The 15,454-nt window shown below is 41.2% G+C and overlaps 1 long non-coding RNA gene across 1 annotated transcript in view, besides 1 other annotated feature; it reads right to left on the minus strand.

The window, feature by feature from the left end:
- Positions 1–15,454, minus strand: part of LINC00290 (long intergenic non-protein coding RNA 290) — a 95,061-nt gene that overhangs the window by 74,826 nt on the left and 4,781 nt on the right. The window lies entirely within an intron of this gene.
- Positions 7,887–9,086: an enhancer, noted in NCBI's record as "BRD4-independent group 4 enhancer chr4:182067954-182069153 (GRCh37/hg19 assembly coordinates)". NCBI's record gives its function as "activates an origin of replication core promoter dependent on BRD2, P300/CBP, MED14 and CDK7 cofactors, and independent of BRD4, by STARR-seq in HCT116 cells {active_cell/tissue: HCT116}" and the evidence as "EXISTENCE:reporter gene assay evidence [ECO:0000049][PMID:35650434]".

Below are 15,454 nucleotides of genomic sequence, written 5' to 3' on the forward strand. Positions count from 1 at the left end.
GTGTTCCCTCACTTAAGACGGTGAGCTCCTTGAGAGTAAAGATATGTTGTATTTACCAGGATTTCCAGCATCCAGCAGTGTTTGAAACTTGGTAGGCGCTAAATCACTGGATGACAACTAAACAAATGAATGAACATGCACATGTACACTCCTCGGCAGTTTCAGAAGACAAGACATTGTTGCATGGAACATAGGGAAAATATATCATTTAGTGATGGTGGTGATGATTCCCATTTTGTCTGTGAAATAAGTTATTCTGGCTACTACAGCTTATAGTAAGAGTGGCTCTTCCCTAAAGAAAAGCAATGTGGATATACCACTCTGCACTTTATTTCTGTAAAATGCTTTGCTATAACATTCCATCCAAATCCTCCCAGCATCCCTTTGATGACTTACACCTCTTCCAGCTGAGACCCTGTGAGTCCAAGCTCCCCTGTCATGGTGAGTGGTGGTTCCTACTGTGCTGGGGAGGACACTGAAGCAGATGGCAGTTAGGCGACTTTCTACATAAGTGCCATCGTTGCAAACGGCAGAGTCAGTAGTGGAGTTCATGACCCCCGATAGTCCTCCCTACTCTACCTGTCAGGTCATAATTTTCCTACAAGCCCTGGATGTTAGGCAATGAGAACTAATGATATGAATGTTTCCTACTGACCAGAGTATTCCTGGGCCTCATACACTGAGCCCATCACCATCAGGTAAGAAAAAGATTGGGGGCAGGGGAGGTCAGGCAGATCGAAGCACAGTTCTGTTGATGTGATTCCCATAGAAAGTCGGCTATATTTATGGAGGTTTGTATTTAGGACCTTTCAAGGAATTTTCAATTACTTAAGAAATAGAGCACCTTATTTATTTTAAATCCATTTGGCAAGTATTAATGGCTCTATTTGATTGCCTGAGTCCCCCATCCTGCTCCACTCCACCCCATTCCAAAATAAAGCATAGCCAATCATATCTCTGTGTTAAAAAAAAAAATACCTCCTTGATTCTTTAAAATATTGACTGTATGGGTAATTGTGGTATAAATGTGTTCAATAGGCAAATAATTTTCTTTAGGAGGGAAATTAATGATACAACATTGCGGTATGTTGAGTAAATTTAATTTATTCATTCTATTACTTTCCCTCTTAACAGGGATAATTTAAAGTCAATAGTAGTCTCATTTTAAAACCTGTGAATTCTCAAATCTTCTAATTTAATTATGGAATTGAAAGAGATGTCAAATCATTTTGAGTTTACATTTGTATAAAGTAAATAATGTGCACACGACTTGGGTAATAAATGACGTATCTCTCAAGTATTTCTAATTGACTTCATTCACACATTTTAATTCTTTATTCTCAGACTGTGCAATCATTAATATCATATTTCCAGGATAATAGTGTCTGTGAGCTCATGTACATTTCCTCCACCTCTGTTCCTAAAGCTAGACCAGCCAGGCTGTTCTGTTGTAAACTTTTATTGGCAGGGGTTCATAATTCAGCTGTAACATTTCATGCTGGGCTGCAATTCACTGCACAAACCCTTTGCCCTGAAGAGCTTATGTTACTACAAAAACAATCGTAAAAATCCATTTTTTCTCTTTTTAAGTAGGCCAGAAAAATGGTATCGTAAGAAACGCTATTCTTAAAAAAAATAAAAAAGACACTTTCTAAAAATAAAAGTTGGTGAATGAAACGATCTGTTTAGTACTGAGCTTTCATCACCCCTCACCCATCGAAATAACTTTCATATTGTAACAATGGAAAATTTACACTTAAACAGGTGCAACTTGCTCCATGGTGCTCAGGGTGCATAAAAAGTCACCTTTTTTCTTATTTTTCTAAGTCAGATTAAATCCAGCGTGAGGTCACTGTCATCAAGGTTGACAAGAAGTCCAATAACAGTCAATTTGGAGTGCCCTCTCCTACCCTTGGGCTGTGGTAGCACGCCAGGGCTTATGCAGTCCAGAAAAAGAGTAAAGGGCCCAGAGCTAGGTGCATGCTTGCCTTTGATCCTTGCCCAGGCAGCTTGTTTTATTGGCAATATCACCGCCACCTTTGCCATCCATGCCAAGCTCAGTAATGGGCTCTTTGAGAAGGCTCCATAGGTCACAATGCTTATGATGCCAACCGCGTTGGAGGTCCCTGACCCTCAAGGATCCCAAAACACCAGCATGCACCCACACATCCATGCACACTTCTTTCACATCCAAAACATCTCTCTCACTCCCTGCCCCTCAATTTCCTCTTTACCCAGTTTCCAGTCTGCAAGGAACGAGCAATACTTTGATAGATAGTGATTTTTGGAGTATATGAGTTTATTCTCCTCTGACTCTGAACCACAAAACCATTCTTTATTTTTTACCCTCTCACTGTTATTAAATGTGTTGAGAAGAAGGAGGTAGAAGATGATTTCAATCTTCCTATTTTTTTCTACTTCAGAAAAAGAACACCAACACATGTTTTGTATTAGTAGAATCACCCTTGCACATAATCAAGTCCTATTTTACTTTAACATTCTCAGCACTGGGTGAGGACTCATGCTATGTAGGTTATGGTTTTAAATTTGCAACTACTTAGCCCCTGTCTTTGACTGTGTGAGGGAACTCCTGATCTCATTTTCTTCATTTATAAAATGCAAGGCATGAATGATCTAATTCTATAAAAGTAGAATGATGTGTATTCTACAAAATTTCTTCCCACCTAAAAATCTCAAATTATGAAATACTTGTAGCCTAATAATTTCTGAGTCACTTCCTGTGTTCAGTTTTGTTTTCATATCTAGAGATTTTTAATTATCACCCAAAAATTTGAATGTGGCATAATCGATATTATTTGTTATTTTGATGGTAATCATGAAGCACTTCTTCTTAACAAAACCAAATCAACAAGTAACAAATGAATAAAGGAATTTCATAAGACCTTTTGGAAAACTTAAAGATCTAGGTGTAATGAATAGGATATGTGGTCTCTTCAAAGAAAGACCATAATTAGGATAAGATTTCATTGTTCAGGTTACTGCACTGTGTGTCAAAAATCGTGAGCTGCTCCAAGACATATGTGAAAGTCAACACAGACTTTCTCAAATGCTTTGAAGTAGCCCTTTCCTTCTACTTCAGCAGATTCCTGCAGATTCATGTCAGCATATCTATGAAGGCTGCATATTAATTTTGCAAGTTCCCTTCACTTTGGGACTGATATACCAACCTGCAAATGCAACCTCCCCCAAAGACCAGGCTGCTCGTTGCTGTTTTGAACTTAAAAGTTGTTGCTATGTATCCCCTACTTAATTAGACAGCGAGGGCACCTTTCAAAGATACCCCAATTTCAAAAGAGACAGAGAGATGCAAGGGAGAGTGAGTGGGAGAGAAAGAATGTACTCGGTGAAGTCTGAGATGCCCTTCAAAAAATGAAAGATGGGACATGAACATGGCAGACATTCATTAACATTAATTTATTACATTGAATCCTCAAGTTTCTGGTCCATGATAAGTGATAAATGACAATAGGTCCCTACTAGCAGAACCTGAAGCATAGCTGCTATTAACATACCCTAGCACACCTTTAAACAAGGCAAATGCTGAGGTATAGCAGCACTGAATGAAGGAAGTTAGAGGTAGCTAAGAATGGGTAGATAGCAGTCTGAGAGGAAAGACAAGTTATAAATCTTGGAAAATTGTGATTTGTTCCATCATTTAGTCTTTCAATATAATGGTTTGTATCTATATTTAATCTTTTGATCTTCTATCTATAAATGCATTATCATCCATGGGTGACCGTGATGATGGGGGAGGGATTCAGGCTGGGGACAGTGGTGGATGCCTTCTGTTAACCACCCTACACCTCCTATCAATGCCTTTCTCTCCATGGCCCATGCCTCCAGGGGCAAAGGGGACTGGCTTCCCTTGATCTCAGGTTTGCTGTTGGGATTGGCCAATGAGGAGCATCCATAGGAGATAGGAAGACCTGGACCCTCCACAGAGGTCACCTGCCTGTCAGACCACTCGCTCCCCAGAGCCACTGTCCCTTTGCGCCTTTAGAACTAGGTAGTAGGGGCACTGGTTACTACTCTTGGAATTCTGCAATATCATTTGTGGGTTCCTTCTATCCTGCCCATACTTCCGTCAGCGCTTTTTAGAATTATTAACTCTTCTCCAATAATCCAGTTTTAATGTGCTGTCTGTTTCTCTTGGAATCTTGAAACACACAGGACCAGGAAGGCTTTCTGAAGGAACTACATAAAGAGTTACATCTTGAAGGTGTTAGGAGTGTATGGGAGAACACGTTGGAATAAGATGCAAAGGAAAAACGAGATTTCAGTCAGAAATAGCAAGGTGTGAAAAAAAAGGGAAACGGCTGGGTTTAGGTAACAATAAAAGGGAAGAATGTACTATTTACTGTTTTTAAGGTGTATTACAGACTCCAGACTTATGGCAATTATTTCAAGACGTTTGCCTACTAGTAAGCTCTTTGCGTGGTGAAAAGAAAAATCCAACTCCCATACTTTACCTTTATGTGATATTACATTGCGCAACCTACAAAACTGCCACCAGGTGGCGCTCACGCAGTAACTTTGGAGCAGCAGCAAGCAGTGAATGTTAAAGACGCTGAATTGGAAATATTACTGTCGAACAGATGTTCTTGTCTTTGATGCTGTATCTAAGTTAAGGTAGGAATGATGAGGTCAAAAAGGCTAATAAATTTATTATGTGGTGGAAAAGTTATTTCTCCTTGCCTATGAGACAGAAAAGCCATTATTTTTAAAGCATAATGCTAGCTGAGCTTTGTTCACTGTGACACAAAATTCTCCTAATCCTCCTCCTACTTTTATTATTCTTTGTGTGATATGTGTCTTTGGTTGTGAGTAAAGAAGAAGAGATTATAGTAGTTGCTGTAAGCTGACTGCTTAAGAGTTCAGTAAATTTAAATAAATCTGTTGCAGAGAAAAACATGCCTTGCACTGATCATCCAACGGTGAATAAAAAATGTAGACAGAGCATTTATGCAAAGAGGCAAATGATGTGCGAGAATGGCACTGCCCGTAAACAAAGCAGACAGTTTGACAAAAGTGTTTTTCCCCCACTTTGATCAAATAGACTACAGCATCTTTGCATCCCACTTGTCAAAGTGCGGAATCTGTTTTCCATCTCTCTTTATTCCTACCTTCACCCAATCCCCACCATGCTTTCATTCAGGTCTCCTCCCTGAAATGAAATAGGCTGTTAGTAGACTGCAGTTGATAGCATCCAACTGCAGATAATGAGCGATGCAACAGAAATGTCTTGGGTTCTTCTTCTTTCTCCCACCTTCTTCCCCAGCGACAAGGTCTGCAGACTTTCATGGGTAAATTCTGTTACAGGGAGAGTGAGGAGGCCAGATAATTGCCCAAGCTGCCTCTTCCATAGATTGATATTAGGGACCTTGTCCTCACCATTGCACACCTGGAGACCTGCTGACTTATCCAGTATCAGATGAAGGATTTATGCACACAACTGTGAGTGTGGGGAATTCTCAGGAAGTGAATTGTTTACACCAGAAGATTCACACTCAGGATGTCAGTAAATATTACCCCAATTACTTTTGCACCAACCTAATACTAATCAACCCCAGAGATGAGGTTTAGCATCCCCATTTTACGATGACAAGAACGAATGGACAGAGAGTTCAAGGGATTTACACAAGATGTGCAGCTACAAGGAGACGGAGGCCAAATGTGCATGCGAATTAAAATCTCAAATGACTAGTGTGGAAATTGAAAGAGGATTGAATAAAATTGAGCTCTTCTTTTCCAACAATCACCCTTCTGGTAAAAAGGTACCAGAGTTTGTGACCCATATGTATCTTATTTCAGAAAAGATTTATTGGGAAGGAGGATATTTTTGTCCAGCTTTTGGATTAGGCCAGTGATCTAAATGGGCTGACGAGAAGTAGTGACAATAATCACATCTACTGGACAGAGCATCTGTAAGGGCATGAAACCTGGGCAGTTGCTGCGCTTACTGGGGCCCTGTGCTTGGCTTAATGCTGTGCTGTCACTGTCTTGAAATTCTTAATAATTTTTTTATTATACTTCAAGTTTTAGGGTACATGTACACAATGTGCAGGTTACATATGTATACATGTGCCATGTTGGTGTGCTGCACCCATTAACTCATCATTTAGCATTAGGTATATCTCCTAATGCTAGCCCTCCCCCCGCCACCCCACAACAGGCCCCGATGTGTGATGTCCCCCTTCCTGTGTCCATGTGTTCTCATTGTTCAATCCCCACCTATGAGTGAGAACATAATAATTTTTGAACAAGAGACCCTACATTTTCTTATTGTACTGGGTGCTGCAAATTATGTAGCTGGTTCTGCCGATGGTATTTTTCTCTTTTGACCATTGCTGGATAAACATAAATACTTTCTCTTCCTCCTTGGCTCCCTCTGGAACCTTTCAGACAGCCCCCAGAAAATTCCGTTAGCAAGTTATTTCCTCAGACAGATAGGCTGGAATGCAACAATTAGGTTGTAGCTTACATTGCTGTTCTTGAAATAGCTGCTTCCTTTTTGCATTTGACAAATCCACGGTGAGCACCCACTCTGTGCCAGGCACTTGCCAAGTCGAAGGTGGTTTCCCAGTTGTTCCTAGCACTGCTTTCTTCAGCCTTCTCTAACGGAAGGGAAGCTCTCGTAGCTTACTACTCTAAGCCATGCTATGCTCCTACTAGATTTCCCTCTCAGAGAATGACCTTTCCTGATCTTGTCCCTCAGCGCTGAAGACATCCTATTAATTCCCCTTTGCACTGCCTACAATTACTACCAATGGCAGCTACTGCGCAGCCAACTGAGAAATGAACCCCCATGGAAATTGCCATCCTTGCCCAAGGCTAACAGAGGTCTCTGGCAGGTCCTGGTGGACTTGTGAAATATTAAATATGTTCCATATTCTTTGTACATTAAAAAGTCAAATCTGAGAAATCTCCTTATGCATTAAGTATCTGTGTCTACATGATATTACACTCAGCACTCAGCACTGTAAGAAGAGATTTAGTTATAGTCTTATTTCCGTAGAATCTGTCAAAAGTAGACCATGAGCCTAAACAAATCTGAATATAAAGACAATCTATATAAGGGCAAAAAATGCAGACAATTGAGCAATGCAAAACATTGGTTAATGTAACTTGCTGTCCATTTCAAGAACAAGTGCATTAGCAGAGCAGTGAGGAGTGAGAGAGCCTTAAGTGGCTAATGCTCACACCCGATGGTGCAGAGGGAAGCTATTAGACCTTTTCCAAATAGTTCTGGAAGACTGTGTACAGGAGCTGGGATTTCATGAGCTATTTGGATGCTAGAAGAGAGATAGCTTGGCAGACAGAAAGAGAGAGCATTCCAAGAATATGGCACAGTTTGGAAAAGGCTTGTGTGGAATGACTAGGTGATGGAGATATTAAGCCAATTGGCTTGAACTGAGTGGGGGCTCCTTCCAAGGAAGGATTTCAAATTTGATTCAAAACAAAATAATGGCTTTCTGTAACATTATTATGACAACTAACAATATATTTTTGAATCCAGTGTGTGCTACACAAATCCAGACTCAGGTCCTGGAGTTCCTAGGATAAGAAGTCTCCTGAGTAATGATGGGAGAATAAGACACGGGAAATAACAGCATCAGCTACCCTCAGGCATAAGCATGGCTACCCCCACTCCACCTACTCCAATCCATGGAGCCCAAGAAGCAAACCGGCAGGACAGCTACTATAGAAGGAGAAAGGGTTGTCCTCAACCCATTGCTGGGAGGAAAGAGAAATGGGGCCTCAGTCTTGGCATCCCTGCTCCTGTCTTTGGTGTTGTGTTCATGAGCACTGAAGTTCTGAACACAGGGCTCAGGGGCCCTGGGCCTTGAGAGGAAGGCCACGGTCTATACCTGCCTTGTGTTTCACTTCAAAACCTAAGTAAGAAGGTATTTATCGACTGCCATGCTTTTGAAAATTCTAAGAATATTTGTCGCTTTAAAGAAGCTTATCAGCTAAATGAAGAGAGAACTCATATCCATTTGAGAAGTTACAGAAGGACAATAAAATTAAGAACTGTCACAAAGAGACACTCTTGCCTGTCAAATGATGGGATCTGACAAGTGTGGAGGAAGGCAGTATTACTTTAGGTTGGAAAGACCATTAGGCGGAGCTAGAATATGAGTGTGTCTTCAAGAATGAGTCAAATTTAAACAACCAGGTAGGGCAGAGCATTGTGGGAAGGCACAAAACCTCAGAGGAAAAACATGGTGGCCAGAAAGGCAGGTCAAGATGGAAGGGCACTACCATGCTGTCCAAAGCAGAAGGGCCTAGAGGACGTCAGAGGGAGAGGAGGCAGGAGAGGAGGTGAGGGCTTCATCCACGACAGGAAATTGAGCTCATTTCCTCTGTTGTTGCAAGGAATGAACTCATCAGAGATCAGCACTTTTTGCCCAAGTTCTGCGAAAGAAAAGTTTATATTTTGAAAACCTTTAATAAGTTATTTTTTCCCTTTCCTAATACAGTGTTGAATTGCCAGTGCATAGCGGAGGTAAATCATCCACCCAATGAGATGATTTTGCTAGCACCATCTGAAGAGCTACCAGATAATTTGTCTTTGTGAAGGGCCGTAAGCATATTCTTGAGCTCTGCTACTGCTCCCAGAGCAAGCACCTTGCGGAAGGGCTCTGGAGTGCAGCATTTGGCACGTCCCGCTGCTCCGGCCATCTGCTGCACCTTACAACGTGGTCTGGCAATTCAGAAGATGGCACGGGCGGCCCGCAATATATCCATATGTTATTCTCCTCCTCCTCGCTTGAGAAACAGAACAGCCATCTTCAAGACACCACCAGGAATTCCAAGTCACGTGACTTCCTTTGTTTCCTCCAGACCAAAGATATCAACATTTATTTTAAAAGGGCAAAAACACACAGCCAGTCAGTCTGAACAAAAACCCTGTGAAGGTGTTATTACCTTACTAGTTAGCCTCAGAGTATGGGAGAGGGAATTCCCGCTCTCCTCACCCCCCACAAAAAAATGCCAACTAATGTTGAGTGCCCTTACCTGACTTGGGAGGAGTGGTTCCCGGGTATAGTAAGGGTTTCTGTGAAGTTATGATCAGCATCACTACTTTTTGTAGTTGTGTACGAGATTTTGTAACCTAAAGCCTTGCGACTCAACGTTGGTCCATGGACTAGAAGATTCTGCGTCGCCTAGGAGCGGGTTAAAAATTCAGAATCTAAGACCCACCCAGATCCTCTGAATCAGAAGCCGTATTTTCACAATGCCCCCAGGTGATTCGGGGGCACATTAAAGCTTGGAATGTACTGATCTGGAAGAGGATACTCAGAAAAACTTCCGCCCATGTAGTTTTGAAGATTCTGGGAAAAATAAACTTGATATAATAAATGAAGTAGGACTACTATGCCATCTAGGAATTTGTACAGAATGCTTACAGAGATTTTTTAACTCATAAACTTTATTCCCCAAATAAAGTTTTTCTTGTTTTTGTTTTTGTTTTGTTGTTGTTGTTAATAATAAGTGAGTCCATAGCATTTATCCGAGGAATCCATACCCACAGAAGTAAAAGGACATCCCAGGGTTATGTTATCAGCCCCCCTCCCTCCTTAGGAAGCATTCACTGGAGAACTTCTCTGGAGCCTTGTTTCAATCTGAGATCTGCACTGAACTGACCACTTCTTGATTCAGGACACTGAAATCTCTGCATATGGGTTTATTTAGAGGAGAGGCTGCGAACGCTAAAGATTTGCTTGTTAACCTTATCAGCAGCTGCTGTGTGCTGTGGTCCAGTGCTCTAATCTGGGTGTCAGGCCTGGGCACGGCATCCTCCACGCTGGTGGCTGCCTTTTCTTCTCCTGCTGGCCGAGTCTGCTGTGGACTCTATTAATGAGGGGTTTGAAACCCCCTTTGGCAGGGAAGAGTGTCTTCCTGCTTGCAGTTTGAATTGAAAATGAATTCCCTATTTGCACAGTACCATGACACTTCGTATAATATCATTTACTGTCCCCCAGGCAGGAGTAGTTCTGGACAATACTTCTTAAACACTTTATGCCCAATATCATGTGGGTTACAGTCGCTCATATGGAAAAGAAAAGGACAGTTTAAAGCTTGAACAAGAAGAACAAAAATGCCTCCTAGGCCTCCAAAATGTCCACCTAAGATTCCAGCTTTTAAGGCAGAAAAATGACTAACAGGGACCATATTTTGAAATCATTAAAAGTGGATGTGTTTAGCCGAGAAAATGAAAGAAGACATAGGAAAAATTAATTCCATCTCTTACAGAGTGATTAAAAACAGAGATAACAAATTGTCAGTTAATGAAGCATACAGACTGGAGAGGTGATGTAGATAATAAAAAGTGGATTATTCAGCGTACTATTTTTAATTGAAATATATATAGGAAGAATGTTAGCATAAGTCATTTTGTACTAGTATTGTTGCTAAAATGAAAAACTAAGTGATTCGCTTTCTTCGAGTTGATCACACATGATGGTCCTGAAAGAGCGGAGAAGTACAACCCAAGGATTAAATCCCTCTGGATTCAAAATTTGCACTTGATGATCTACAGGTAGAAGCATGAACACTGACTTTTTTTTTTTAACCATCTAATCATATATATATATATATATATATATATATTTTTTTTTTTTTTTTTTTTTAAAGACAGGATCTTTCTCTGTCACCTAGGCTGTAGTGCAGTGGTGTGATCTCAGCTGACTGCAGCCTCCGCCTCCTGGGGTCAGGGGATCTTCTCACCTCAGCCTCCCAAGTAGCTGGGACTACAGGTGCCCGCCACCATGCCCGGCTAATTTTTGTACTTTTTTGTAGAGATGGGGTTTCACCTCGTTGCCCAGGCTGGTCTTGAACTCCTGAGCTCAAGCGATCCACCTGCCTTGGCCTCCCAAATTGCTGGGATTACAGGCATTAGCTGCCACACCCAGCCCATTCATAATCTTTTTAAGCATTCTGGTTTCATAGCCTCCATAAAACAGGAAAATTAAGGGTACATTTTTCGCTTATTTATTCAAATGACAAGTATTTATTGGGCACACAGCCACCTCAGGCACTGTTTTGGGGCTATGAAGTTGTAATCACTGAACAAAAACACATTCCCTACCCTCGTGGAGCTTACCTTTTAGTAAAATATACATGCAAATAAATAACCAGAAAGATAATTGCCTTACAATTCTGACAGAGATAATTGGCAAAAGAAAAATTAGCTGCACACAAAAATACATTAACATCTGGAGAATAATGAAATTATGAGCAACAAGCATCAATGAAATCATGCCAAATTCAAATGATGGCAGCTCTTGGTAGGCTTCCAGAATTAACTATTAAAAGAACATATTAGCCTTAAACCCAGTGTGTCTTCTGTGACGACTGTGGGGGGGTTATGTCAGGCTGCATTCATGGAGGATGGACAGATGCCAGGATATTTCACAGGAACCTAATTGTTCTTCCCTGCCAGGAAATCACTGTAGCGTGACATGATCCCAAGGATCAAAGTGCCTGAAGACCAGAACTCCTGGAGCAAGCTTGCATTGCTTTCAGGTGATGCTATAGATCACCCAGAATGCCCTGCAGTGGCCAGTGCCCCTGAACGAGGACTGGACCCCTACATTTACATGGGTTGATTCTGTGCCCTCGAGCAAGTTACTAATGTCTTTGAACCTCAGTTTTCTCATTTGAAAAATGAAAATCATAATACATCAACATAAGATCAGTGAAAAGAATAAATGATATCCCATATATATACACACACACGTATAGTCAATATGTACAATGCTTGCTGCACAGTTAAGTGTGCAACAAATGTTAGTAACCTGCTCCAATCTTATAACTGCTCAACAATAAGATTTATAAAGGCCACACATATTTGACAAGACAGCCCAAACTTTCACACTTTACCTCTCAAGCACTTTTGCCCATTAGACCTTACCCCTCTAAGCTGCATTTCTTGTGCATATTTGGGATTCGGTTCCTGAAATGATTAACAATCATTCAAAATATCACTTGCTTGCTCTTGCCAGACACTAGTTCCGTTTCATCAACACACCCATACTTAGCTATACAGCAGTTCCTGTTTGTAAAATTACTTGAAGATTGAGTTAGATTTTTGTCCTTATATAAGAAGTAGGAGTGGAAAGCTGAAATATGAAAGAGTAGAGACTAGCAATAGGAATGTCTGTTTTTATAAGCACAACACAATCAACAGAAATGTTTAGGTGTGTTTCTAGCAGGAAACTCTGAGTCAGCCTCTCATTGGACTAATGAGGGCTCAATGTGAATTACAGGTTGGGAAAAACTACATTGGAGAGAATATACAAGATACTAGATCAATATTGGAATTAGATCTAAAAGTGAGATCAAATTAGGAAATAAATGTGTGTGTGTAGTGTGTGTGTGTGTTTCAATATTGGAATTAGATTTAAAGGCGAGATTAGATTGGGAAATAAATCTACGTGTGTGTGTGTGCCTCTGTGTGTGTGTGTGTGTGTGTGTGTGTGTTTCAATATTGGAATTAGATTTAAAGGAGAGATCGAATTGAGAAGTAAATCGTGTGCATGTACCTGTGTGTGTGCGTGTGAGTGTGGTTAACTTTACTGAAAAAGAACTCCCTTTCTAGTCTGTGAATCTGTTGATCTATTGTTTGTCTTTCATGTATGTATTCTAGAAAGCATTACATGTAGAAGTACGGACTTGCCTCTATCTAGTTGCCTTTTTTATTTGTTTATTTCCAGCCTCCTGCAAAAAGGAGGTGATCAAGTAGCAAGTTTCTCTAATCTCAGTATTCTTCTCCTCTGAGCAATCTGACCAGGAGACTACAAATATTTGTTGGTCACCTACTATGTTCCAGGCATCATGTCCCCAAGGGTATGTCCCCTGCTAGAGTTAGCAGAAAGATCTGGCATGGATTCAAACAGATTGAAAAATGAGTAAGACAGGAGACCACTGGATCTGCAAATCTGATGAGAAAGCTTCCTTTTTAAGCACTTCGGCCTAATTCTCTCTCAAAATATGTATGGGCTTAGGCTTTCATAGCAGCATACTTAAAGGAACTAAGGCTCTGCTTCTCAAGGTAAAGCCATGCAACTCTGTGTACACTGGCAGGGACTGCGAACCTTGGAAGGGAAGCGTGGCCCAGTGCCGCTGGAGGCTCAGGCTGTTTCTAGTTGCCAGGGATAAACCCCTTTCCAGCTCCGGAAAGCTGACACTGTGGCAGGCTTCTCCTCTACAGCCGGGACCTAAATTAGATCCTTCTATACTCCAGCTACTTGATCCTCAAATCTTTAAGATTTGGCCACCTTTAGACGTTTCTCCTTAGGCCCTTTTCTATAAGTCCTTTGAATATTTGCATATACTGATTTCTTTTTTTTTTTTTAAGTGCAAAGAGAGAAAAACTTTATTTTTTAATTTTTTTTCTACTTTTATTTAAGTTCAATGGATACACATGCAGGTTTGTTACATGGTGTATTAGTCTGTTCTCACGTTGCTGTAAAGAACTACCTGAGACTGGGTAATTTATAAAGGAAAGAGGTTTGACTCACAGTTTTGCATGGCTGGGGAAGAAGCCTCAGGAAATTTACAATCACGTGGAAGGTGAAGAAGGAGCAAGCACCTTCTTCACAAGGTTGCAGGAGAGAGGGAGAGCATGAAAGGGGAAGATCCCCTTGTGAAACCATCACATCTCATGAGAACTCACTATCATGAGAACAGCATGGGGGAAACTGCCACTATGATCCAATCACCTCCCACCAGGTTCCACCCTTGGCACTTGAGGATTACAATTTCAGATGAGATTTGGATGGAGACAAAGACAAACCATATCACATGGGCGCATTGCATGCCGCTGAGGCTTGGTGTACAAAATGACCTCGTCACTAAGGTAGTGAGCATAGTGCCCAATGGGTAGCCTTCCAACCCTCTCCTTCCTCCCCTCTCAAGCAGTCCCCAGGATCTATTGTTCCCATTTTTGTGTGTAGGAGTACCCAGTGCTTAGCTCCCACTTGTAAGTGAGAACCTGTGCTGTTTGGTTTTCTGTTCCTGCATTAGTTTGTTCAGGCTAATGGTTTCCAGCTGTATCCATGTTGCTGCAAAGGACATGATTTCCTTCTTTTTCATGGCTATGCAATATTCGATGGTGTTTATATACCATTTATTAATGACACTTCAAACTTGGTAGGCTAAGACTAAAATTTTGTTGTTAGAGCTGAAATCATAGATTACTGCAGCTAAATGGGTCTCAGATTCTAATTCTTCATTTTTGTGTGTGTGATTAAACTGAAGTCAAGAGCGACTGTCAGAGAGAAGAGAGAATGAATAAATGGCACAAACCTCCTTAGCAGCACGGGCCGGGCTACAGTGTTCTCACCCCAAATTCATTGTTGATTGGGCCCTCTTTGCTGCATCAGTTAATGACATCACCAAAACTCCACTCACCTTTAGTTGCAAATGCCTTCCCATTTCCTACTGTATATCCAAGAAGTTAATAAATCCTATCAAACCTCCAAAATACTTTGTTCAATCTTTGCTTTTTATGATTTATTTCAACTGCTAAGGCTTTAGTGCCTCCTTTCTTCATCTCTCCCCTGAGGTGTTATGACAGCAACTCAGCTGGCTTCGCTGCACTCATCTTCTCTTCTGAAACTCCAGCCAATAAACTGGAACTAGAGATACCTTCCTGAGATCAGATGGTTTCACTATCCTGTTCTAAACTGTCCGTGCCATACCTCCACATGCAGGAAAAACACCTAGACTCCATAGTGTGGCCTCTTCTCTCACCCAGGGTTTCCACTCCTCCAAGGACACCTCTCCTTTTGTCATCTAACACCATTGCTCTAGGTGCTGTTCTTCATGCTAGCATATCTTGACCTTTCCACCAGTAACTTTTTTTCTCAAAAAATTCAATTTAACAGAAACACTGCTCCTTCCAGGAAATCTACCTGTCAAAGTTCTGTTCAAAGTTTAGGACCAGTTTCGTCTCATCTCCTCTAAGAAGCCTTCCTTAGCCTATCCTAGTAGGATGGCTAGTAGTATCAGAAGACATTTATCCCATATCTGTCTCCAACTCCTATGCTTCCTTTTTCTATAGAACAAGGGAAACATTAGGTTTTGACCCCACCACTCCCCAGGCCCTCCTAGGCCAAGTCTCTAATACCCATTTCTTTGCAAAATGGATTGTGCAACCCACAGTTCTCATCTTACTCTTTATGAGCAACATTCGACACAGGTGGTCAATTTCTCCTTCTCTTGATATTTTCTGCACTTGGTATTTTGAGCGCCACTCATTCATGATTTTCCTCCTCCTACCTCATAGCCTCTTCTTCCCAGTCTGCTACGCTGTTTCTTCCTCATCTCCCTGATGTCTACACTGTAGATTGTCCCAGAGCTCAATCCATGGATTCCTTCTCTGTATTGCATGACTTTCCAGGTGAGAGTATCCAGTTTCATGGCT

The sequence above is a fragment of the Homo sapiens genome, chromosome 4 (assembly GCF_000001405.40).
Source record: "Homo sapiens chromosome 4, GRCh38.p14 Primary Assembly".
NCBI classification, from domain to species: Eukaryota; Metazoa; Chordata; class Mammalia; order Primates; family Hominidae; genus Homo; species Homo sapiens.